At 40.2% G+C, this 25,677-nt stretch overlaps 1 protein-coding gene across 1 annotated transcript in view, besides 1 other annotated feature; it reads left to right on the plus strand.

Moving 5' to 3' along the window:
- Positions 1-25,677, plus strand: part of TTLL5 (tubulin tyrosine ligase like 5) — a 293,834-nt gene that overhangs the window by 211,011 nt on the left and 57,146 nt on the right. Inside the window, exon 30 of the mRNA NM_015072.5 lies at positions 10,429-10,646. Coding sequence (NP_055887.3) covers positions 10,429-10,646 — 218 coding nt within the window. The remainder of the gene's footprint in view (positions 1-10,428; positions 10,647-25,677) is intronic.
- Positions 3,761-3,850: a silencer, noted in NCBI's record as "silent region_5951". NCBI's record gives its function as "represses an Ori minimal core promoter by ATAC-STARR-seq in GM12878 lymphoblastoid cells {active_cell/tissue: GM12878}" and the evidence as "EXISTENCE:reporter gene assay evidence [ECO:0000049][PMID:35858748]".

The following is a 25,677-nucleotide window of genomic DNA, read 5'->3' on the forward strand; positions in this document are numbered from 1 at the left end:
AGGTGAATGAAATTTGTCTTTATATACATCTGGTGGAAACTGGACACATTTCTACGTTTGCTTTAGAAAAGAGATATGATTTAAATAAATTTGCTTTAGATATGTTTGCTTTAAAAGGGAATCAGCATAACATAAATAAGAAAGGCAGCATAGTATAGTGAGGTTCTTAAATCATACTCCATGGGTTTGAATCCCAGCTTACTACTCAGTACCTCTGCAATTATGAACAAATTTCCTAACATTTTTTGTGCCTTGGTTTCTTCTGTAAATGGTGATGATGAGGAGACACAGGTCATATGGTTGGGAGGGATAAATGAGATAACATAAAGCACTTAAAGCAATGCCTGACCCATGATAAAAGGTCAATAAAAGGCCGGGTGTGGTGGCTCACACCCATAATCCCAGCACTATGGGAGGCTGAGATGGATGAATCACCTGAGATTGGGAGTTCGAGACCAGCCTGACCACCGTGGAGAAACCCCATCTCTACTAAAAATACAAAAAATTAGCTGTGCGTGGTTGCGCATGCCTGTAATCCCAGCTACTCAGGAGGCTGAGGTAGGAGAATCACTTGAACCCAGGAGGCGGAGGTTGCAGTGAGCCAAGATCGTGGCCATTGCACTCCAGCCTGGGCAACAAGGGTGAAACTCCATCTCAAAAAAAAAAAAAAAGTCAAAAGTTAGTTGCTCTTATAATTGTGTATCACCTTTTTTTTATCATTTAGGTAGAAAACATGTAAATGTATCCTCTTAACAATTTTTATGTATACAGCACAGTATTGTTAACTATATGCATACTGTACCACAGATCTCCAGAACTTTTTTTTTTTTTTTTTGAGACGGAGTCTCGCTCTGTCCCCCAGGCTGGAGTGCAGTGGCTCAATCTCGGCTCATTGCAAGCTCCGCCTCCCGGGTTCACGCCATTCTCCTGCCTCAGCCTCCCAAGTAGCTGGGACTACAGGTGCCCACCACCACGCCCAGCTAATTTTTTTGTATTTTTAATAGAGACGGGGTTTCACCGTGTTAGCCAGGATGGTCTCGATCTTCTGACCTCGTGATCCGCCTGCCTTGGCCTCCCAAAGTGCTGGGATTACAGGTGTGAGCCACCACGCCCGGCCCTCCAGAACTTTTTTATATTGCATGACTGAAACCGTACTCATTGAACAACTCCCTGTTTTCCTCTTTCCCATCCAGCCTCTGACAATCACCATTCTACTTTCTGTGAGTTTCATTACCTCATGTTGAGTGAAATGATTTTGTCATTAGATTCTTTTACTTAGCATAATGTCTTCAAGATTCATCCACGTTGTAGCGTATGACAGGATTCCCTTCTTTTTTAAGGCTGAATAACATTTCATTGTGTGTGTATACACATATACATACCATGTTTTCTCTTTTTTTAGTTTTTTTTTTTTAGTTTTTTTGGGTACTACATACCACATTTTCTTTTTCCATTCATTCATTGATGGACATTTAGGTTCCTTTTACATCTTGGCTATTGTGAATAATACATCAATGAACACGGATGTACAAATATCTCTTATGTATAATTTTTAACCGTAAATATACATGGCATTATGATGTCAACTTGGGGGTTTTACTTAAACCTTCCGGGCCAGAAACAGAAATTGATTAAAATGATATTAAAGAAAGTGTCTTAGGAGAAGCCCAAGGCTCATTAAGTATTAATTAGCACATTTTTAAAACTAATAGTTACTTACTTGAACAATTAAATATGGTATGCAAATTAATTTGTTCATAATTATTAGAGCTATGAGAAGAATAAAAAGCATGATTAATACCATGATTAAATGGTTATTCTTTATTTATTTATTTATTTATTTATTTATTTTTGAGACAGAGTTTCACTCTATTGCCCAGGCTGGGGTGCAGTGGCTCGATCTGGGCTCACTGCAACCTCCACCTCCCAGGTTCACACCGTTCTCCTGCCTCAGCCTCCTGAGTAGCTGAGACTATAGGCATGCGTCACCATGCCCAGCTAATTTTTTGTATTATTTAGTAGAGGCGGGGTTTCAACATGTTAGCCAGGATGGTCTCGATTTCCTGACTTTGTGATCCACCCGCCTCGGCCTCCCAAAGTGCTGGGATTACAAGTGTGAGCCACCGCACCTGGCCTAAATGGTTATTCTTTAGAATAATATCTGTGTAGATTATTGACATGTTTGTCCAAAGGCATAAATATCTTACAAACATAAAAAGGACAAGAAACAGCATTAGCATCAATTGTGAGCTAGCTTTTCATCGGGTGCAAGCTGCTTTCTCAAAGTAATCAAAGGAATGATAAGTAAATTTAATCCTTTCAGACATACTGATGAAATACAAATTGGTACAACCTTTCCTGAGAGCAATTTGGGAATATATGTTAAAAAGTTTTGAAGCAGAAGAATAAAGAGATTTCTGATCTGGCTATTCTACTTTGAGGAAATTATTTTAAGGAAATGATCCAGCATATGTGAAAAGGTATAGATAACATGATGTTTATCACAACACTATTCTTAAAAAGCAAAGTAAACTGGTAACAACCTGAATGTGTGTGTGTATATATGCGTGTGTGTGTGTGCGTGCACATGTACATATGGTATTTCAAAATGGAACTATAAGATTTTGGGGGTGCTTTTCTGTTTGTGACACAGAGAAAAAAAAAGACACTGGGGGCCTTTTTTTTTTTTTTTTTTGAGACGGAGTCTCACTCTGTCACCCAGGCTGGAGTGCAGTGGCGTGATCTTGGCTCACTGAAAGCTCCGCCTCCCGGGTTCACACCATTCTCCTGCCTCATCCTCCCAAGTAACTGAGACTACAGGTGCCCACCACAACGCCTGGCTAATTTTTTGTATTTTTAGTAGAGATGGGGTTTCACCGTTTTAGCCAGGATGGTCTCGATCTCCTGACCTCCTGATCCGCCTGCCTCAGCCTCCCAAAGTGCTGGGATTACAGGCGTGAGCCACTGCGCGCGGCCTATATTTTTTAACTCAAAAATCTATTGTGGGCTGGGCGTAGTGGCTCACGCCTGTAATCCCAGCATTTTGGGAGGCTGAGGCAGACAGATCACGAGGTCAGGAGTTCGACACCATCCTGGCCAACACGGTGAAACCCCATCTCTACTAAAAAAAAAAAATACAAAAATTAGCTGCGTGTGGTGGCACGTGCCTGTAATCCCACCTACTTGGGAGGCTGAGGCAGGAGAATTGCTTGGAGTCGGAGGTTGCAGTGAGCCGAGATCGTGCCACTGCACTCCAGCCTGGCAACAGAGTGAGACTCCATCTCAAAAAAAAAAAAGAAAAAAATATATTGTGAACATATTTACATATTTCCATAGCTTCAAATATAGATGTATCTCAGTGTGTCAATTTATAGCATTGATGATTGGTGAAGTATAATAAACCATAGTAGAAAAAATGCCATTAAAAACAGCAGTCTAGGTCTACGTTTATAGATAGGGAAAAATGCTCAGAATAGGTATTTGAATGAAATAAAAACAGGCTCCAAAACATCAGGTGTCATGTGATTCCGTGTTTTGTCAGCACACAGAAATACATGCATACATACATATAGAAAATAAGTTTGTATATGCATAGAAAAACATCTAAATGTTAACAGGTTATCTCTGAGAGCAGAATTATAAATCATTTTGAATGAACATTTATTAAAGAAATTTGTTTCAAAAAGAAAAACATCAGTCTGCCAACCTTTTTATGTATGTGTGTGTGATCAAACAGTGCTGGGCATTGAAGGAGATATGAAAGAAATGTAAAGCAAAGCAGAGTCTATGGTCATCTGAGTCTGAATTTGCATCAGAACGTCAACCAGTGTCTGATTGGTTTTGTGGCTAGATGAAGGTGTGGCTGCTAATAAGGGAAGGTCACCCATGTGATGTCTTAGGGCAAGGTGGTTTCACTGGCTTTTGTGGTCATGAACTGCAGCCCTAGTCTTAGCCAGCTGTGTCATAGCTACACTGTGCTGGTCAGGTCACACACTAGTCCAAGCTCAGTTTTGAGTATATGTGAATATCTAGTTGTAATTATCTTCATTGCTTCTTAAATGTTGGCAAGTACAGTTAATTTAGGGACTCTCTGAAGAATCACACTGATCTCAATTGGTTAGTGAACAATAGTTTCGAAATTTTTCTGTCCAGGTAAGCATCTGTCTTTGTATCCTTTAGAGTAGGTCATTTGAGGTAGTAAGAACCTCCTTTCCTACTCACTGAAGGAGGGGGAGCTTCGTAATTGGTTTTAGAAATGAGAGGATATGTTGGAAGGCTTCCGACACCTTTGACAGCTCCATATCCTGTCTCAGGTATTTGTGTGCTTGGTCTCTCTATATGAAGAGGAGCAACTTCTGGATTGCTGTCCCATTCCTATTGGAGTCGTAGTACTGCCCAGTGCTTTATAGCAGCACCAGAAAAGTTGTACTGTTTCTCTTGCTCAGCACCCAGTCTTGTCCCAGCCGACAAACACTGTGAATGGAAGACAGCCAAGAACTCCATACAGTGTGAGACAAAGGCCTTTTGGAAGCTTACTTTTGCCAAAATAGAAACAGTTACTCTCACTCTCACCTTGGCTGCAAGGTTTTTACAGCATCACAGGGTTGCATAAAAGTCTGGATGTGTTCTTTGCTCTGAACAGTCTTGGCCTGATTCTAGGAAGGTGAGTGATTAGTAACTTACATGCTCAAGAAAATGTACCTTCTCAATAGTTTAGCTTCCAGAGGGAAACGGACAAGAAATGTCTTTGCATATGTCATGGGAATTTTATCCAAATTGGGACACAATCTAATGTGGGGAGAATACTGCATAGAAATGTTTGCTTGTCTTAAATTAGAGTACAAGGGTCACAAAGAGACATTAACCTACTCAAATAGAGAGTAGCGTTTGCCTACTTTATCCCCCTTCATTCTCAAAAAATGAATTTACAGAATTATTTCACTACAAAGAGGCATCCAGCTCTGCTCCATCACCAGGAAGCCTGAGTGAAGGCTAAAAGGAGTGTTTTTCTGGAAGGAATTAAAAAAAGAAAAAAGTCCTCCCAGAATTTAATCTCTAAACAGTATTATCTTTCTAGTAAGAGAGCCCAGATCTTGCTTCCCTGGAACCTTCCAAGTTGCAGTCTGTGTTCTGTCTATCAGAAATTTTTCCTTCCCACCCATGAGCACCCTTCTGTTGTGGGAGAAGGAGGGCCTTTCCAGTCTTTTGCCTGGGGCCAAGCCAACCCTCAAACTGTGGTTTTTCTCTGAGTCTTCTTGCTGTAGTATGGCTGTTTCCCACACCCAGCAAAGAAACAAGAGTCATGTATATGCTGAGTGTATGTTGACTAGGTCTTGAGTGGAGGCCAGTGCTTACACAGCTCTCTCATTCCCAGGACATTGACTAATGATGGTGCAGCTCCTATGCCTGTGTTGTTAATATTGTATATCGAAACCTCATGTTTCTTACAAATTATTAGAGAGAACTTCATCTAATTCTTCTGTCCTTTTATGAATGAATATCAGGACAGAACAATTCACATGATGGAGCAGTTCAGTTGGTGGGGCTGTAGGATTGGGGCCAGTACAGGACTCTCAGGGTGCCTGGAGAGGCTGATTTCTGCTGCTAGTTTACACACAACCATTTATATGTCTGCTTTTAACATTGTCTGAGTGTGTTCCTGGGTTTCTTCTTATCAGGTTTGATTGCTTTAATCCCATCCCACTTAGCCTTGGCTTTGGTGAAACACCTGGGGACTTGTCTACATTACCGACTCTTTGGAGTTTCAGATGGCATGCAATTATAATCATTTCATTATCCGTTCAGTGTATTACAGTATAATCACCAAACCACAAGTCGCAACCTAGAGGCCTTTTACTGTATTTGGAAAGAGTGTCTGCCTTCTGTTGTTGTATTGAGGCTTAGGCAAGCTTGAATCTGTGGTAGATTGAGAATTATTTCTAGTATCAGTTAAGATTCCGTTTGGCTGCTTATAACAGAACCCTCTCTACCACCAATAGTTTAATTAAGTTAAAAGGGTTTTTTTCCCACATAGTTAGAAATCTAGAGATAGGCTCTTGCAGACTTCATGGTGCCATCAGAAACCCATGCTCCTTCTGTCTTTATTCTCTGCAATCCTTAGCAAATAACTTTTACCCTATGCCTATCCACCTCTTGCTAGATTCCATGCTGTAGGTGGGAAGAAGAACAGGGAACATGAAAGGGCATAAGGTGTGCACCAGCCGAGTCTGCCCATTTAAAGAGCTTTCCCAAAAACTGCACCCAGAAACTTCTGTTTCCATCTCATTGTCCAGAACATATGGCATGTGTTATCCCTAGGTAAAAGAGAGGTTTAGAAATGTATTTTCTTTAGCTGGGCAAACATTATGACCCAAACAAAGTCAGAGTAGTAATATTAAGAAGAAAGGGAGAAGCGATTTTATCTAGGCAAGTGGCAGTCTCCTAGGCAGTAAGTTCTCCTAAATTATTTTATTTTATTGTTTGAAGTGAAAACTAATCTTATATAAAACATCAGTATCTAAGGTCCTACCATAAATTTTGCATTTAGGAAGGTGTGAAGTTATTTTTGTTTGAGATCTGCAGAAGGGCTGACATATTTTGTGTCTGAGTATGAGTTGGACACAAATAACACACTAGGCACTGTTTAAAGTCCAGAAAATGGTCCTTTTACAAGATTACATCTGGATATAAATACACATTTGCCTATTTTGTTGTGTAGGAATTTAGTTTTTGCTAAAAAAAAGATGAATAGTTGGGATTGGTGTTTTTATTTTTAATTTTTAATTTTTTCCATTTATTAAGCACCTTTCTACTAGTCACTGTAGGGGAAACTAAAATTAATCATATATAAATTCAGCCATTTCCAGTGTGAATCACCCAGAAGGGAGAAAAAGTACACACGTAAGTGGCTATAATACATGGTAGAATGTACTGTGATGAGTCATACAAATACATTTTTCTAAGCATTCAGAAGAGGAAAAGATTATTTCTGCCAGAGAGAATTGAGTAAATATGATCTGGGGAGCCTAAACATATGTTTCCGTTTTAAGAATTTGCTTTCACAACTAGTGAGTGTCATAAGTCTGGAAAAATATCTTGAAGAAATGCATAAGCAACTGCCATTCACAAAGGATTACTGATAGGTGGACTTCGCTGTCATCCCATCCTTTAGTTTCTCAGTAGAACTGAGGTAGGTAGAGGTTTGGGAAGGAATGGAACATTTGTTGAGTGCCTACTGTGTGCCTAGGTCTTTGCTTTATTTCAAGAAATCCTTATTGAATGCCTAGGCTAAGGTTACCTACATGATGACCTCCAAAAATCCAATGAAGTAATTTTTTTTAATTAAGCTCCTCATCTTCTAAAGGTGAAGTAATTTTAACTGCTTATGAGACAGCTCTGAGAAGTTAACTTGAAAAGATCACCCACTTTGTAAGTGACAAGGCCTACATTTGAGCTGAGGTACATTTGACCGCAAGCCATGTCTTTTCCATTTACTCTGGGTCTCTCTGCCTTTCATTGATGACCTAATCTGCTTTTCTAGCCAGTGTTGAACAGTTAATTCCTTCTTTAGCCCAATCTAATAGGAATCCTATACCCAGCTGGTTAAAACTTGGGCTTCACTTGGGTATCTTGATTTGTACTCACAGATAATGTATTACCTGCTTAAATGTTACTGGAACTAGACTTCTTTTGTCTTTTAAATAATTAGTTTATTTTTGTAATAAATAACTATATGCACGCAGTATGAAATTCAAAAGATACAAATGACATGTAGTAAAAAGTTAGTCTCCCTCCTGCCTTGACCCCTAGCTAACCAATTCTTCTCCCTGAAGGCTACCAGTTTTTTGTGTATACTTCCAGAATTGTTCTGTGCAGATACTAGGAGAGAGAGAGAGAGAGTGTGTGTACATACATATATAGATATATATGGTGTGTATGTATTCTTTTTAAAAAAAACAAAAATAGGAGCTCACTAAACTCACTGTTCTGAACCTGCTGTTTTCACTCATTATTTCATTTGTATTTACATGTTTCAGATTTTGGGGGAAAAAATTATGAATTTGAAAATATAGTTGTCACCGTGGCAACATTTATTGAATAGATGTTCTTACCAATGGCAGTTCCCTTACAACATTAAATATATAATTTAATAAAGAATATTTTGATTTCCAAGAGCTCTTAACTAACAACATTTTATCCCCTCCTCTACTACTCACCCAGGGAATTTCTTTATGGATGGCTCAGTGTAGAACTGTTCTTCAGCCCTCATTCTGATTTTTGGTCTCTTCCCATCTTGAATGAGGCACTTCCCAAACACTCCTTACACCTAACCTCAATTATTAGGATGTAGTGGTGAAAATAGAAGCCTGGGGCAGCCTGTTCCTGTGTCCCTCTTTACTTCCAATTGAGTTTCTCACACAGATTTTAAGGCCCTCAAATATGGAAACAACAGCTGCAAAGAAAGGGTTTGTTGTAGACCCTGTCCCAGAAGGCTGCCTCCTGCTGGAAGCTTTGGTTCCTTGTCCTGAGGAGGCCTGCTTTAGCAGGGTCAGGGCTCCTTGATTCTCTTGGACCATCCGGAAACCTCCCCATGTGTACATGCTCAACAGTGCTGCCCTCCTGGCTTTGCCCATGACCTTGCATCTGTCTTTGTTCCTCTTCCCCCCGCTTTTTTTGAGACAGGGTCTAGCTCTGTCACCGAGGCTGGAGTGCAGTGGTGCAGTCTTCACCCTTTGCAACCTTCACCTCCCTGGCTCAAAGGATTCTCCCACCTCAGCCTCTTGGGTCGCTGGGACTACAGGCAGGCACCACCACGTCTAGCTAATTTTTGTATTTTTTGTAAAGACAGAGTTTTGCCATGTTGCCCAGGCTGGTTTCGAACTCCTGAGCTCAGGTGATCCACATGTCTCAGCCTCCCAAAGTGCTAGGATTACAGGCATTAGCCACCGAACCTGGCTTTGTCTTTGTTCCTCTTCTGTGGATCAGAGATGGAGAAAAATTGTAGCTCTTCACTTTCTCCCTCAGGTGGTTTACACAGGTTGGGGACATCTCAGTCAGATTGGTCTGACTGAAAATGCTCAGACCCTTTACCTCTGAAATCTCTTTGTTCTTTGTCAAGCATCTCAGTGAAACACATTTACTCCACACAAGACCCCTGGATCCCCCTCTCATATCTGCTTAGCCTACGACCTTTGACACATTTCCTGAAAATGAGACATTTTATGTCATGCATATAGAAGGGTTGGTGAACATTTTACTAAAATTACCCAGTTCATCTTTTAAATCTGAAAAAATAAAATTCATAAAGGGCAAAAATAATACTAGCAAACTCTGTCTAGAAGATGAATATTTCCTAAGAGCATCTCATATTATTTCATCCTGCCTCACCATGAGTCCTTTACATGTTGTAGGTACAAATGGAAATCAATTGCCAGAAATTGTTTTAATAAAAAATACTATGTATTTTGTCAATGATGTTATTTTTCTCTTAATATTATTTCTCATTTAAAGTTTTTACAATGCATGTTGAAAGCAGTATTAATAGTATTGAAAGACTAGTAACAAAATTGAGACACAAAAAGACCATTTCTAATGAGATAAATAAGTTGTAAGAACTTTTTAAGCATCTACTTGAAGGAAGAATACTTTTACATCCTAATTATATATGTTGACATTTGTGATGTTTAGATGGTGATTTTTAGGTCTTTATTTATAGGCTTACCCTCTGAGCAAAAATATCCATTTGTCGATTGTATTCATGTAACTAGCATTTGTATAGTAATTTTACTTTGAAAGCGCTTTCAAATGTAAAATCTTATGTTAATCTTTAGGTCAACAAAGTGTTTCTAGCTAGAATTCTAAACTAGCCCTCAAGATTATAACCAGGCCTGGCTCATGGTTCCTGTCGCAGGAACCTCATCTTTCTGTATTGCTCACCATGCCTTAGCCACACTGACTCCTCCCCTTGCCTCCTGCCTGCAAACTTTCTAGAGGAGCTCAGAGTTTTGGATTGGGCAGGAATCAAGTCAAGCTGCAAGACAATTTTATTCTGTGCTCTATTTCTAGTACTTCACGCCTCGAAAGAGACATTCATTAAAAAAGTGTTGAATTTAACAATGATGGAAACTACACTGAGAGATCAGATGCTTTTCTAATTCACGCATGTGGACCAACACTTAGTATCGCAGGTGCCCTGATTCCTAGCCCAGTGTACTTTCAACAAGACCATTTCAACAATCTGCTTCAAAATATTCCCCTTCTCTGAATCTAGAGCTGCACTGGCAACATTAGAGAAGTTTTTCCTTAAAAAAAAAATTAACAGTTGTCCTTTTCTTTTTGCCCCTTGACAGGATTACAGACTAGTTACATACAGTAAATGGGTTGTGAAGGTGATGTCCATCGATCATTTTTTTCCTTTTTTTTTTGTAGGCAATCTTTGGCAGCCAGACACTACCTAACTCCAATTTATGGACAATGAATAATGGTGCAGGTTGTAGAATTTCCAGTGCCACAGCTAGTGGCCAGAAGCCAACCACTCTGCCACAAAAAGTGGTACCACCTCCAAGTTCTTGCGCCTCCCTGGTTCCCAAACCCCCACCCAACCACGAACAAGTGCTCAGAAGGGCAACATCCCAGAAAGCTTCCAAGTAAGTTTTTTTCTGTTCAATTTCTACTGAGTTTTATCAGTTCTAAGCTAATAGTACTCTTTATTTATTACTCTTCAAGACCGTTCGTACTGAAGTACTGGAAACAAGAACACCTGCTGGGAAATAAAGGCTAACCCTAGTTCTCAGCGTGGGCTACAAATTAGAATCACCCAGGGAACTACTGAAACAAGCAGATGGCAGGGCTTTACCCTGTGGGAGGGACAGGCCCTGCAGAATCAGATCTTTTCAATTTCATATAAAATTCAACATCCTGCTTCCCCTTGGTTTGTTCACTTTTAGGCATTTGAAAGGGGAGATACAGGATTGAGATTTCATCTAAGAGGATAATATAACTTCATTGACATTAGTCACCAAGCTCTGTGTAGCAACAGTGTTTTTAATACCTTTTGTAGTCTACCTGTTTACACCAAAAAGACATTTCCTTTCCTGAGTCAAATTTTTGTTAAGTCAAAATCCTTCACTGTATCTCCAGCCACTTTTTAGCCAGTGAACTAGAAATAGATTGGTGAAGAGCGTTGGTTCTAGCAGCCCTTCTTCAGTTTAAACTTGGGGAACTTTTAGAGATGTCTGGAAGAGGCACGCATTGCCTGCTGTGTTTTTGTGTCGCAGACATTTGTGTATTTCTCTTGCTGTCATTGAGGCTTCTCATTCATTTGTCCTTCGGAAGATCAATATTAGTTGTGAGAAGAATCCTAAAACATAGAAAAAGTCATTACTGTTTTTTCCTCCTTGGATGGTAAATCAAATTCTGGATTTAGATAGAAAACAATCCCTTGTGGCTGTTTTAATTATATTGCTGCCATTATTCATTTATCCAACAAATATTTATTCAGTGCCCACTAAGTACCAAGCGCTGTTCTGGGAAGAGCTGGCATTGTAATGACTGCAGAACTCTCTGGAGTAGTAGGAAAGGGCAGTAGGAAGGCTGCAGTTTGTGGTTGAATGCCAGTAGCAAAATAGGAAATGTGTGCCTTCTCACCCTGGAAATAGTGGAGTCAAATCCTTAGGTCTGCAGCCTCTGTAGCCAGACTGCCTGGATTCACATCCTCAGGCCACACTTTACTAATATGATACCTTCTGCAGGTTACAAGTTACTTAATCTCCTAGCCTCAGCTTCCTCATGTTTCCATTTGTAAAAATAAAACAATAAGAGTATCTACCTCCTAGGTCAGTTGTTAAATGTTAACAGAGTTAATATGTGTGAAGTACATAGAGTAAGGCCCGGCCCAGGTAAGAGCTCAGTAAGCCTTGGTCACCATCATATGCATTCTAAAACCACACTCTCCTTCACAGATTTGGAAAGCCCGTAGTTAACTAGGAAAATTTTTGAGCCAAATGCGAATGTTGAATTTGCCAGTGTGCCCCTTGTGGATTCTCTGATTATTGCCAGTACCCTCAGAAGGCCCTTGGTGGCCTGTGTGGCTAGCTGGTGGAGAGGTGGGCCCAGGCGGCAGGGCTGGACATTTGAAGACGCTGCTTGCTACTGCCCTGAACTCACTGCTGGCAGGAGAACTCTGCAGCCTCCTGAGATGGAATTGCAGCTCTTTGGACAGACTTTGCTTTGCAGCATTTTTGTGGTTTCTTCTTTGTGACAGGCAAGAGTGTGGGAAAACCGGAAACAGCTCAGCATCAAAAATGCACAGAAGGGGGGAAAAAGCGGAGATTTCTTCAGAATTTAAGTAATATAATCCAGGTATCAAAAGGCATGCTGTGAGGCGTTGTTCCAGGAAATAGTTTCCAATTTGCCTCTAAAACTCTAGGACAAGTCTCTGAAGCTAAGTTAATACTAATAAAGACTTGAACATTCTCTCACTTACATGTGAAATGTACAGCGTTTTGGGGACCCCAGTGTTTTCAGATATTCTCCTGACTTTTAGGAAAAAGAATAGCATGGCTTTTCATCTGAACAGTGAAAAGTTCCCCCTATGAAGTATCCTGATAAAGTTAAAAAAAAAAAAACAACTGGGCCAAGTGTGGTGGCTCACGCCTGTAATCCCAGCACTTTGGGAGGCAGAGGTGGGCGGATCACGAGGTCAGGAGATCGAGACCATCCTGGCCAACATGGTGAAACCCTGTCTCTACTAAAAATACAAAAAAAAATTAGCCAGGCATGCTGGCAGGCACCCGAGTGGTACCAGCTACTCGGGAGGCTGAGGCGGGAGAATGGCGTGAACCTGGGAGGCGGAGCTTGCAGTAAGCTGAGATCACACCACTGCACTCCAGCCTGGGTGACAGAACAAGACCCCGTCTCAAAAAAATAATTAATTAATTAAAATAAAAAAACTGGCCAGGTGCGGTGGCTCACGCCTGTAATCCCAGCACTTTGGGAAGCCGAGGCGGGCAGATCAAGAGGTCGGGAGATCGAGACCATCCTAACTAACATGGTGAAACCCCGTCTCTACTAAAAATACAAAAAAAATTAGCCGTGCATGATGGTGGGCGCCTGTAGTCCCAGCTACTTGGGCGGCTGAGGCAGGAGAATAGTGTGAACCCGGGAGGCAGAGCTTGCAGTGAGCCGAGATCGTACCACTGCACTCCAGCCTGGGTGACAGAGCGAGATCAGAGAGTTCTCACGTACCACTTGCCCAGTGTTTTTTCCATTGTTAACATCTGACATTGCCATGGGGCATTTGAGGAATGTACCATACCAGGAAACTGTCATTGGCACATTACTATGAACTAAACCCCATACTTTATTTGGACTGATGAAGTAATTTTTTTAATCTAGAGAAGCTTTTCATGGCTCTCGAAATCAGGATCCTGAGTATCAGTTGATATATTCTCACTGTTCTGTAGTAATTCTTGTTCCTAGCCAGCATAGCAAGTTACTCAACATCTCTGTGACTCAGTTTCCTATTTTAAAATGGGAATAGTAATAGTACCTGCCTCATAGGGTTATTAAGATAAATGAATTGATGAATGTCAAGCACAAATACAGTGCCTGGTATGTAATACATACTAAATCAGTGTTAGGTACTATTATGCATTTCAAGAAATTTTCATGTAAATTTTTTACTTTCTTCCTACAAGATGTGTTGCTTCATTTGCTTGGATCTTACTGTGGCCTTTACTCCGGCTCAGTTCAGATTAATCAGGAACCCTCAGTTATGACTGGTGATACTGAGTCACACTCAGGAATGCCATAGTCGCCTCAAGAGACACAACTAATGAGAAGTTGTAATGAGCTTTTGACCATGCCAAGCCCTGTGTTTTTGGGTTGAACTTCAAACTTCTTCTAGCACAGAAGTTGGCATTAGACAAATATAGAAGCAATTTCCAAGAGCATCAAAGTTTCCACATCCTAGAGGGTTGAGTTTTGAGTTTAGAGAAGAATAGAACGTTAAAGATGGAATGTCACTTGGATTTTGGTGCAAAGGGAGTTGAGAATCAGAACAGTGGGGTCCTGTTTCTTTATGATAATACTCAAGTTGCTTTCCCTCTAAAGGTTTCATTTTACCATCTGTAAAACGAAACCCACTGTCCCTACTGAATAATTAACCAAAATGACTTGTTTTCTGTCTATTCCATTGAAAGCTTTTTTATGAGCACATTTGCTCTTTAATCCTGATGCTTTCAAGCCATTTTCCTCAGCCCCTCTTGTCCCAGCAGTTCTTTGTTGTAGTTCTCAAATTCATATACTTGTATTTCATTTAGCTAAATCTCATTTGTCAGTTCTGTGAAGGGAATGATTTAAAATTTTTTTTTTTACCATTTTCCTGGTGCCAATAATCTTTCTTGATTTTCTTCTCCAATGTTTGCAACACTTCATAATTTAGTACCCGCTTCAGATCCTCCTTTCAAAACTATTTGTGGTATTTCTTCCAAGCAGTCAGCTGAACTGAGGACGACAGCCTACAAACAACTACATGCATCTGAACTGTCTCTTGTAAATGAGCTTTTTTCAGAGCCAGAATCATACTCTCCAGGAAATATGGAGAAAGAAACCTGAGGAGATTGAAGTTTGCCAGGCACAAGGGCAAAACTCAGACTGAATGAATTTGAAAGGGTGGGGCCAAAGATGTTGTAACCTGGGAGACTTCTCTGAAGAAAGAAAACTGTTTAAGAAACACAGACTGAACTGCAGTACTTTTCCTTAAATAGCTGAGATGACCTTCTTTACCCTGGGCTTAGGTGATTCTCATCAGGGTGACCTGAGTGGAAGTTGGTGGTAACGACTGTTCTGTGTCAGCACCCAGGACAGTGGTGTCTGTTAAGGCTGCCAGGGATTAGCAGGGAGGAAAGCCATCAGGACTGGGTAGCCTGGTAGCACCAAATCCCAATTAATGTTACCTGAACATGTGGTGAGGTCAGCCGTATGATGAAAGATGTTTAAGAGATTAATGTCAGAAGAATATGAAAATAAACACCGGCTTAAAAAATGTTATATCTTTTTAACATATGAGTCATTAAAGTGAGAAGATTTAAGGGCAAAGTAATTAGGACTTAATAATTGTCCAAAAGTTCTTGAGGTGAGCATAGAAGATACCATATTGTGTGTTAACCATGTTCTGCCAGCTTTTTATTATGTGCAGTTTCAAGAAACATAGTTGAATCTATAACATATTCATCCTTAATACAGGCTTCTCTACATTATGCATTTCCAAGGTAGGTAATTATAAAATGTTTTTGGTAGAAGATAAAGGGATGGAGGCATAGTTGTGGGGATATGAGTACAACAAGGTACGCAGGTGTTCAGTGGCTGAGCTCAAACTGGAACTTATATGACCCGCTGTGCTCACCTCAGACTCTTCCCCCTACATCACTGATTTCAAAGGTCCCTGCCAATCTATTCATCTATATCTGTCTGTACAGCAAATGGCAGATCAATTATCCTAAAATATTGCTTTTGAAGAAAATACAATGTATGCACTTAGGAACTCACTCCTCTCTTTTTCCATACCAGTTTTACCACTTAAATGACCAGGAAATACTGAAAATGAAATACTCAAAAGGAGGAAGAATTAATGCCACTCGTATTAGAGGTGCTGGGGGAATTTCTTTTAGATGTAGCACAGGAAGACTGGATTGAAGAACAACATGGAGGGCTTTTGTATAGTGTCTTCTGGGAGAGTGCATTCTAGGAAATGAAAGGGAAACCTGGAATACTGCAGACAATAATACCCTCTGACTCTGAGGGGCAGGGCCTGAGGGTAGAAAGGACATGAGCGCCAGTCAGGAGCTCTGCCACTTAGACTCTCTGTCTTCTAGTAATCCTCGTCATTTGGACCTCAGTGGTGGCATTAGGAGGTCTCTGGGGTTGCTTTTGGCATGGACAGTGACGTCAGTCAGAGGGATGGGTGCTACAACCACACCTAATCAAAAGTTGCGTGATGGTGTGTGTCTCATTGGGGAGGAAAGCTACATGAGAGTCATGGAATGATGGGTCTTCCCTTGCTGATTCATATTGGCATAATTTAAATTAAAATCCGACTTCTCATGCCTGCCTCCTGGGATGTTAAAATGGTTGTCGAAATGGTAATATAACTGCTGGATATTTCCCATCCCTCACTTCCCTCGTCCTTCACCTGAGTATGAAAACGCTTTTTTAAAAGATTTTGGCAGGAATTTATGCTAACCTCTGACAGAATCCATCCACATCAGTTTCTCCGTGAATATAAGCCCTTGGCAAATTTAGACCTTCTTTAAGGATGAGCAAATACTGGAATATCTTGGGGCCTGGCAATAGGTGGTATAGCTTAAAAGAAGGCTTCAGTTGGGCACAGTGGCTCAGGCTGGGCATGGTGGCTCATGCCTGTAATCCCAGTGCTTTGGGAGGCCGAGGCGGGTGGGTCATGAGGTCAGGAGTTCGAGACCAGCCTGGCCAACATGGTAAAAGCCCGTCTCTGCTAGAAATACAAAAAATTAGCTGGGCATGGTGGCAGGTGCCTGTAATCCCAGCTACTCAGGAGGCGGAGGCTGGAGAATCGCTTGAACCTGGGAGGCAGAGATTTGCAGTGAGCTGAGATCACACCACTGCACTCCAGCCTGGGCAACAGAGAGAGACTGTCTCCGAAAAAAAAAAAAGAAGGCTTCATGGAGAAGATTCAGAGGCTTCTAACCTCTGGAATGAGTTTAAGCAAGAAATAATAACATTTTAGAAAATACCTAATGTGTATTCTTAACAAAATGTAAGAGTAGAGAGCATCTGTGTGGAGAACTAGACAAAGCTATCATATAAAAGGAGCAAGGGGCCTGCAGTCAGGGAGGATTGCACAGAGATGAGAACTACGTAAGTGAAAAATTGGGCTGAACACAGTGAATAGAAATTGGCCACTGCAGAAAATTGAATTCGCAAACTAAAAGACAAATGCCAAAAATTTGAGGAGGAAGTATACAAAGATAAAACTGATGACAGAAAAGACAGATTCAACCTAAAATAACAAATTCCAGAAAGAGAATAGAAATAATAGTCAGTAGTATAGGCAAAAAAGACCCAAGATAAGGACATAAAGGGATTAGTTAATAAGATTAAATCAATAGATACATAACTTTGTGCCCTACAGAGATCTTGTGGAATAGTTTTCTAAACTGGAACGTTTCAATTAAGTCCTCAAAAAGTAGAAATTATACATGCCTCATTCTCAGACCACTTTACAATAAAATGAGATATTAAATATAAAGGCTGGGTGCGGTGCCTCACACCTGTAATCCCAGCACTTTGGAAGGCCGAGGCAGGTGGGGATCACCGGAGGTCAGGAGTTCTAGACCAACCGGGCCAACATGGCAAAACCCCGTCTCTACCAAAATATACAAAAATTAGCCAGGCGTGGTGGCATGGCTCCTGTGGTCCCAGCTACTCAGGAGGCTGAGGCATGAGAATCGCTCGAGCCTGGGATGTGGAGGTTGCAGTGAGCCAAGATTGCGCCACTGCACTCCAGCCTGGGCAACAGAGCGAGACTCTTAAAAAAAAAAAAAAAAAAAGAGGAAGGAAGGAAGGGAAGAAGCGAGGGAGGGAGGGAGGGAGGAGGTCAGGCAAAGATATACTCAAAGGTAATCTGTCAAAGAAGGAAGGAAGGGAGGGAGGGAGGGAGTCAAAGATGTACTCAAAGGTAAATTCATAATCTTCATCATTTTCATTACTAAAATACTGAAAGATGAAAAAGAAATTAACCAAGATACAAATGGTAAATTGGCTTCAATAGATAAACTGGCTTCAGGTGATTGCCCAGTGTTGTTTTGGAAAGACCCATGAGGACTTCCCTGAGCTCAGCAAAAAAGAGTGCTTTGATAGGTTAGTAGCATCCGCCACACATAGGGAAGATGCTGAGAGTCGTGAATAGGCCGCATATTTGTCATAACTGAAGTAAGCTTTTATCACATGAAGTTAGAAAAGGAACCATAAAACAAAGCTAAGAAAAACAGATTTAAGGAAATTAAGAAGAAAAGTAATATAAAGTGAAAAGCAAGCAGTAAAATTAGTTAAGTTCAAAACCTTATTTAGTTTGGGTCAGGGGAACCCAGAAGAAGAAAATAAACATACTTCTGCCAGAAGAATAAGAGCAGTAAACATAAGAAAAATACTTTAAAAGTAGATATAGAAGAGACTGAAAAATTAGGAGAACACGGCACACTATGTACAATTTTAAAAACTAGATGAAAGATAATATTTTGAAAAATATCAAGTATAAATTGGTTCTTCTTGAAGAAAAAGAAGATTTAACTAGAACATAGAACAAGTGGAAATTTTCAAACTGCCTAAATTGGTTCTTCTTAAACACATGAGTAGGCCCAGGAACCATTTTTAAAAATCGTCTCCAAAATAGTTCTTCAAACTATTTTTCTGAAATCTTTTTTGTTTTTGTTTTTGTTTTTTTGAGATGGAGTCTCGCCGTGTCACCCAGGCTGGAGTGCAGTGGCGCGATCTTGGCTCACTGCAGCCTCTGTCTCCCAGGTTCAAGCGATACTCCTGCCTCAGCCTCCAGAGTAGCTGGGACTACAGGCATGCACCACCAAGCCCAGCTAATTTTTTGTATTTTTAGTAGAGACGGGGTTTCACCGTGTTGCCCAGGGTGGTCTTGATCTCCTGACCTCATGACCTGCCCACCTCAGCCTCCCAAAGTGCTGGGATTACAGGCGTGAGCCGCTGCACCTGGCCCATTTTTCTGAAATCTTTGGAGGCTTCCAGGTGCGCACAAGATAAAGTTGAGAGTCCTGACTCTGACATTCAAGCCTTCTGCAATATGACCTCTCTCCTGTCTCCTGCCTTCTTCATACTCTATCACCGCTTTGCACACAGACTGTTCCACACACATGCTTCCCATTCTTTGTTCCTACATATCCATGTCATCTCTGCAGAGTGCCCTTAGGCCTCTTGAACCTAAGTCCTGCCTTTAATTCAAGATTGGGTTTTAGTGTCTCACCTTGGTGCATCCTTCCCAGCTGCCCCTTCGTCACCTCCTCATCTGACTCTGCCATCTACCTCCTGGTTTTATTTTTCCTTTTTTCATATGTTCTGCTTTCTATAGCTCTCTCAAAGACAGATACCCTGTCTTCACCCTTTCATCACATATATATTGAATGTCTGTTTTGCTCAACATTGCCCTAGACAGCAGTGTCCAATGGTGATAACACCAGTGGACAAGACAGATCAGATCTCTGCTTGCATGGTTTGTTTTTGAGAGAAGGGATAAACTCATTCCCAGTGCCTGAGATAGCTTATATTCGTAAGTTCTCAGCAAATGGCAGTGGTGATGGTGGAGATGGAAGTGGTGGAGATAGTGATGGCAGTGGTGGTGGTGACATGGTATTCTGTGTCAAGTCATATGCATCAAAGATCAGTAAATAACAATGATCTCATTATTTATGCCTTGTAGAGTAGCGTATGGGAGACAGTAGAGTACAGTTGTTAATAGCCTGGAATTTGAAATGGGATTCGGATTCTGGTTCCTTGGCTTAACTAACTTTTCTAGAGATAGCACTAAGCTTCTGTTTCATTATCTATAAAATATCACTTATGTCTTGGAGTTGTTCATAGGGTTAAATGAGATAATGTGTTTCCCTGACATATATTGCATCCAATGTCTGCTGGTCAGCGTAGTTGTATTCTGCAGCTGCTCTTGTTTCCTACTAAAAGAAATCACATTTGTTTTGTTGGTAGGTTGTTATTTATAAGTGTGATTTGGTTCTGCTGGTGAGCCTGTGGAAATTTAAACATATTCTGATTTCCTCAACACTAATAACTCTAAAGGCAATTGAAGACAAAGGCTCAGTTTCAAACAAAAGAAAAAATTAGATTTGGAGTTACTGACTTCCAGGCCAGTTGGCTCCCAAAGTTCACACTTTCACATCCATTTCCCCCCTGTGCTGCAAATACATAGCTATGATGGATGAACATTTAAAGAAGAAAACCTACGGGACTTAGCTGTGCTTCAAAACAAGGCACATATCTCCTTGGCCCCAAAATATACCAAAATAAACGAGAATCAATGAATGAAGCTGAAGCTACAGGCTTTCTGAAGCAGGCAGTGGCAAGCTCCTGTGTCATATTGGGAGCTGAAAGTGCCCTACAAGAGGAGAACCTAAAGCCACGCTCATTACTTGAAAATAATTGATTTTCAACCTGGGACAGTTTCCCCCCCAGGAGACATTTGGCAATATCTGGAGACATTTATACTTGTCATAACTGGGGGAGTGCGACTGGCATCTAGTGGGTAGACTCTACAGATCCTGCTGAGCATCCTGCAAAGCGCAGAACAGTCCCTCACTACAAAGAATTATCCAGCCCAACATGTCAGTAGTGGCAAGGTTGAAAACCCTGCACTGAAGGATGCAGTGTGCCCTCCTAATGGGAGAGTAGTAAAACTGGCATGAACCGACTAACTGAGTCTGTCTTTATATGAGACTATGGGCCTTACAGAGTCAGGAAGGCAATGACATACCCTTCCAACTGTTCCTGTCTCAAAACTGCCTTTGGTTTCTAAATATCACTGAGGCAAGTGCCCCAAAATGCCACCATAATGCCTGGTTTGGGGCTGGTGTCAGGGGTCTGGGTGAAGGCAACTATATAATCTTCAGACACGGAGGAATGAGCAAGCACAGAGACCAGGGCGGGGAATGATTCCCATTCAAAATAAGCCCGCAAACCAAAATTCCAAAACACATGAAAAAATCTAATTCTAAGAAAGATTGCCAGGAAAATCAAGAACTGGAACGTGAATTCTTTACAGATAAATTAATACTTTAAAACAGTCAGACATGTTAGATCATGTGTCTAATAGGAGTATCTCGTGGAACATGATATGTGACTCTGATAGGAGTATCACAAAAAAGACCTAAAGGATAATTGGACAAGCAACGCTTTTAGAAAATGACAGAATTTTCCAGAATTGAAGAAGACATGAGTCCTCAGCTAAAAAATTCATTCATGTACCAAAATAAATGTACCTCTAGACACATCATAGTAGCAAGAAACCAGAACATTAAGCGTAGAGAGAAGTCTAAATATTACCAGGGAGAAAATCTGCGTAAATGACAAAGGAACACAGAGTACCAGCATTCTTCTCCTCAGCAATAATGAGTGCTAGAAAACAGTAGCCAATTACTTCGAAGTGTTGATAATAAACTTTCAGTCTAGAATTTTATACATAGCTAAACTGGCATTCAAGAGTGAAGGCGGCTGGGCACAGTGGCTCACGCCTGTAATCCCAGCACTTTGGGAGGCCGAGGTGGGCGGATCACGAGGTCAGGAGATCGAGACCATCCTGGCTAACACGTTGAAACCCCATCTCTACTAAAAATACAAAAAATTAGCTGGGCGGGGTGACGCACGCCTGTAATCCCAGCCACTCAGGATGCTGAGGCAGGAGAATTGCTTGAACCTGGGAGGCATAGGTTACAGGGAGCCAAGATCGTGCCACTGCACTCCAGCGTGGGCAACAGAGCGAGACTCCATCTCAAAAAAAAAAAAAAAAAAAAAAATAGTGAAGGCAAAATAATTTGAGACATTCAAAGTCTAAGAGTATACCTGAAATTCAAACTAGGAAATAGTAAAGACTGTATAGAGATAGAAGTGAATCCAGAAGTATTAGGCAACAAGAAACAATGAAATACAACAAATCCGTAAAATGTCAATAAATGTTAATGACTATAAAATAATTATTGGTCTTTAAGAAGATGAAAACCATTTAGAGATAACAAAGATAAGATACAGGGACCTAGAGTATTTAACTGATAAGGGTCCGTGTCGACTTTGAGGTCAGGACAGAAATACTGAATGACTTTACACTTAGGAAAAAATAGCTAAATAATTAAGATGCAGGCTGTAGTGTTCAAACCAATAGAGCAGGGAAAGGGAAATGTAGATACTTTATTAATTCAGTGGAAGATAGGAAAGTTAGAAGCAAAGGAGGCTGGGCGCAGTGGCTCATGCCTGTAATCCTAGCACTTTGGGAGGCCAAGACAGGTGGATCACCTGAGGTTAGGGGTTCGAAACCAGCCTGGCCAACATGGTGAATCCCCATCTCTACTAAAAATACAAAAAATTAGCTGGGCGTTATGGCGCATGCCTGTAATCCCAGCTACTCGGGAGGCTGAGGCAGGAGAATCTCTTGAACCCAGGAGGCTGAGGTTGCAGTGAGCCGAGATCACACGCCACTGCACTTCAGCCTGGGCGACAGAGCAAGACTCTGTCTCAAAAAAAAGCAAAAGAAAAGGATGATAAATAGAAAACAAAAACTAAGATAGTAGAAATGAGTCCAAATATACAAGTAACCAAAATAAATGTTGACAAATTAAACTCTTCCATTAAAAAAGAGATGATCAAATTGCATCTTTTTAAAAACTTAAGTTATTGGCTACATGAAAGAGACATACATAAAGTAAAATATCAACAAAAGATAGACAATAAAAGGTTGGAAAAGAGCAATTATGAAATACTAATCAGAAGGAAAACTGGTATAGCAATATTAATGCCAGATAAAATATAGCAAAAATCACTAAGGAATAAAGAAAAGCACTTGTATGCACTTAACATCATAAACTTAAAAATATAGAAACCAAAAGCTGACAAAATTATAAGGAGAAACTTGCAAATCATTAATATTAGTGGGTAATTTATTTGAATATACTTCTGTCAGTAACAACTCAAAAATTACTGAAGACTTGAATATTTGAAATGCAGAATTAACATTTTGCTTTAATAAGTGGGTTTTCATCTTTTTGGACCAGCACTTAAAATAGAAAATACATTTTAGGGGCACATGTTCTCAGGACTTCCTGAGGGGTATGTCATGGGCGAAATGATCTAAAAAAAGAAAAAACATTTTATATGCAACCCAGCAAAAATACTTATCTATATGTATGTGTGTATGTGCAATTAAAATTTCACTAAATACTGTCTTCTATTTTTTAACGCTGATTCTGAGCCCTGAAATTCATTTTACAACCCAATTATGAATCACAGCTCACAGCCTGAAAAGCAGTTACAGCTATGCATGGACTCCTGCACTCAATGGTATTCGAGTATATGTGGAATGTTTATAAAAATTCAGCACATACTATGTCACAAATGAAGGCTCCGTGCACTTCAAAATATCAATATCAAACGGTTCACACTCTTCAACCACAAAGCACTTAAGTTAGAAATAATAAAAAGAGGTTTTTTTTTAAAAAAAATCCATGTGTTGGAAATTTTAAAAAAATAGAGTACCTATTACTCATGCATTAAAGAGATAATCATAATGAAAATTATAAAATATTTTAAACTGTATGGCTCTAAAAGTACTACACATCAGATTTGTGGAATAACCAAAACTGCACTCAAAAATAAACTCTTAATACATTTATTTAAAAGACAAGAAGGATTAAAAATAAGTGAGTTAATTGTTTAATTCGAAAAGCTATGAAAGGACAACAGAGTAAACTAATTAAAATATAGAAAGGAAAAAAATACAGAAATCTACAACAGTCAGGTGCATGGCAGAACATTAGAGAACAGTGCTTCCAACTGTATCTGGCATGTGGTAGGGGGTCATTAAATACTTGTTGAAGGAACGAATGAAATTGACAAGTACTGGGATGGCCTCTGGAAAGACTAATGAATAAAAAGAGAAAAGGGCCTACTCAGGAATGAAGAGGACTATAACCAGAAATACGGGGGAATAGATAATATGCAGTATATTTATAAAATGGAGTCCTGAGTGCCTTTACTGCACAAAAGTTGACTTCACTAAATGTTTCATGATTTGGTTTTGGAACCTGACCCTAATTAATAATGTTCTAATTGTTATTTTCTAAGGATTAGCATTAACTTCCATTTCAGAATCATAAACCCTAGACTGAGAGATAAAAGGAAGAAGCAGCGTATACCTGTGTGTGTGTGGATATGTCGAAAATTGTAGGCTACTTACTATGAGTAAATGTTTGGTAGGAAAAGTCAGGGTATGTATTTTTTGTTTTGTTTTGTTTCTTTTTTCTTGGGAATTGAAAGAGGTTGGTTATTGCTGTATTTTATAAAAACGATCAGGTTTGGGGGTGTTTGTTTTCAGCACCTTCACAGATGCAGCCATGTCTGTTTTGCCACAGCCCTGGTAAGATCAGCATTTGTAGCTTTGCTCTTCCTGTAAAATCTTGAGCATTTTCCTTTTGTGAGTCCTTCCTTCTACAGAAAGGTCATCTCTGATGTGGTGGCATGAGTCCAAGATAAACTTATACTAAACCATTGAAATAGAAAACTAGTACCCCTGTGTTGGGGATGTGGAAAGCCTTGAAAAGAACCCAAACAGAAATAATATAGCAGCAAACCACAGTCAACCTTGTGAAGTAATGAACAAAACAGACCTTAAAGAAAGCATATCGCTTTCAGAAAAGTTTCCACTGATCAAAATAATGGGCAAAAGAAGAACAGAGGAAACCACAAATAAAGAAATGAAGATCCACGAAAAACATGTCAGAAACCTTACCAGCAAAAGGGATGGTGGGGCTATTGCTCATTATAACCCTCCTGGACTGGGTTTTATGTATAAATATATGTTATATAGTTATATAGGCTGGCTATATGGTGTGGTCTTGATGCCAGTGGAATTCCTAGCCAGCCAGTTGATTGGCTTATATTCCTTAAATAGAGACTTGTACTAGAAAAAATTTTTCAAAATAATTAATACAGGATGTAATATCCCTATAAGATGAAATACAGGCATTTCATCTTACAAGGATATTATTTGTTTTTAATGCATCTTTGAACAACTTCTTTGAAAGGCACAGGAGAGCTGTTCCCTCAGAGTAGGAATAATGCTCATTTGAGGTGCTTTCTCAGACCTCAGAAAAATGGCAGAGGCAAGATGAGTAGATAGATGTGAAGCAAGTGAGTCAAATTCAGGGTTAGGAAGTGTACATGTAATATTTAGGTAAACTCTTTAGCTGCCAGCTGTGAACATGTCCCAAGGAAAGAGATTTTGCCTTCATAGAGAGGAGCATGCGACTGTTCATTGAGTTCTTCGAATTCTTTGTTGCTACTATATGTGGTCATGTGTCTTATTATAGTTTTTAAGTGGCTAAATTAATCAGGCAGTGTGCTCTTAAGCAGTTTTTATTTTATTTTATTTTTATTTATTCATTTATTTATTTATTTTTTGAGATGGGAGTTTCACTCTTGTCACCCAGGCTGGAGTGTGATGGCGCAATCTTGGCTCACTGCAACCTCTGCCTCCTGGGTTCAGGTGATTCTCCTGCCTCAGCCTCCCAAGTAGCTGGTTTTACAGGCATGAGCCACCACGCCTGGCTAGTTTTGTATTTTTAGTAGAGATGGGGTTTCACCATGTTGGCCAGGCTGGTCTCAAACTCCTGACTTCAGGTCTTCCTGCCTCAGCCTCCCAAAGTGCTAGGATTACAGGTGTGAGCCACCGCACCTGGCTTAAGCAGTTTTTAATAATCATTGACAGTTTATCCTCAGAGAAGAACCTAAATAAGACCATTACCAGAGCTGAGATTGTAGTAAGCTTCTTACTCTCAACCTTTCACTACATCAAGCAGCTTTCCATCTCCTAGACAGTTGTACCATTTCCAAGAAGAACAA

The sequence above is a fragment of the Homo sapiens genome, chromosome 14 (genome assembly GCF_000001405.40).
Source record: "Homo sapiens chromosome 14, GRCh38.p14 Primary Assembly".
Classification (NCBI taxonomy): domain Eukaryota; kingdom Metazoa; phylum Chordata; class Mammalia; order Primates; family Hominidae; genus Homo; species Homo sapiens.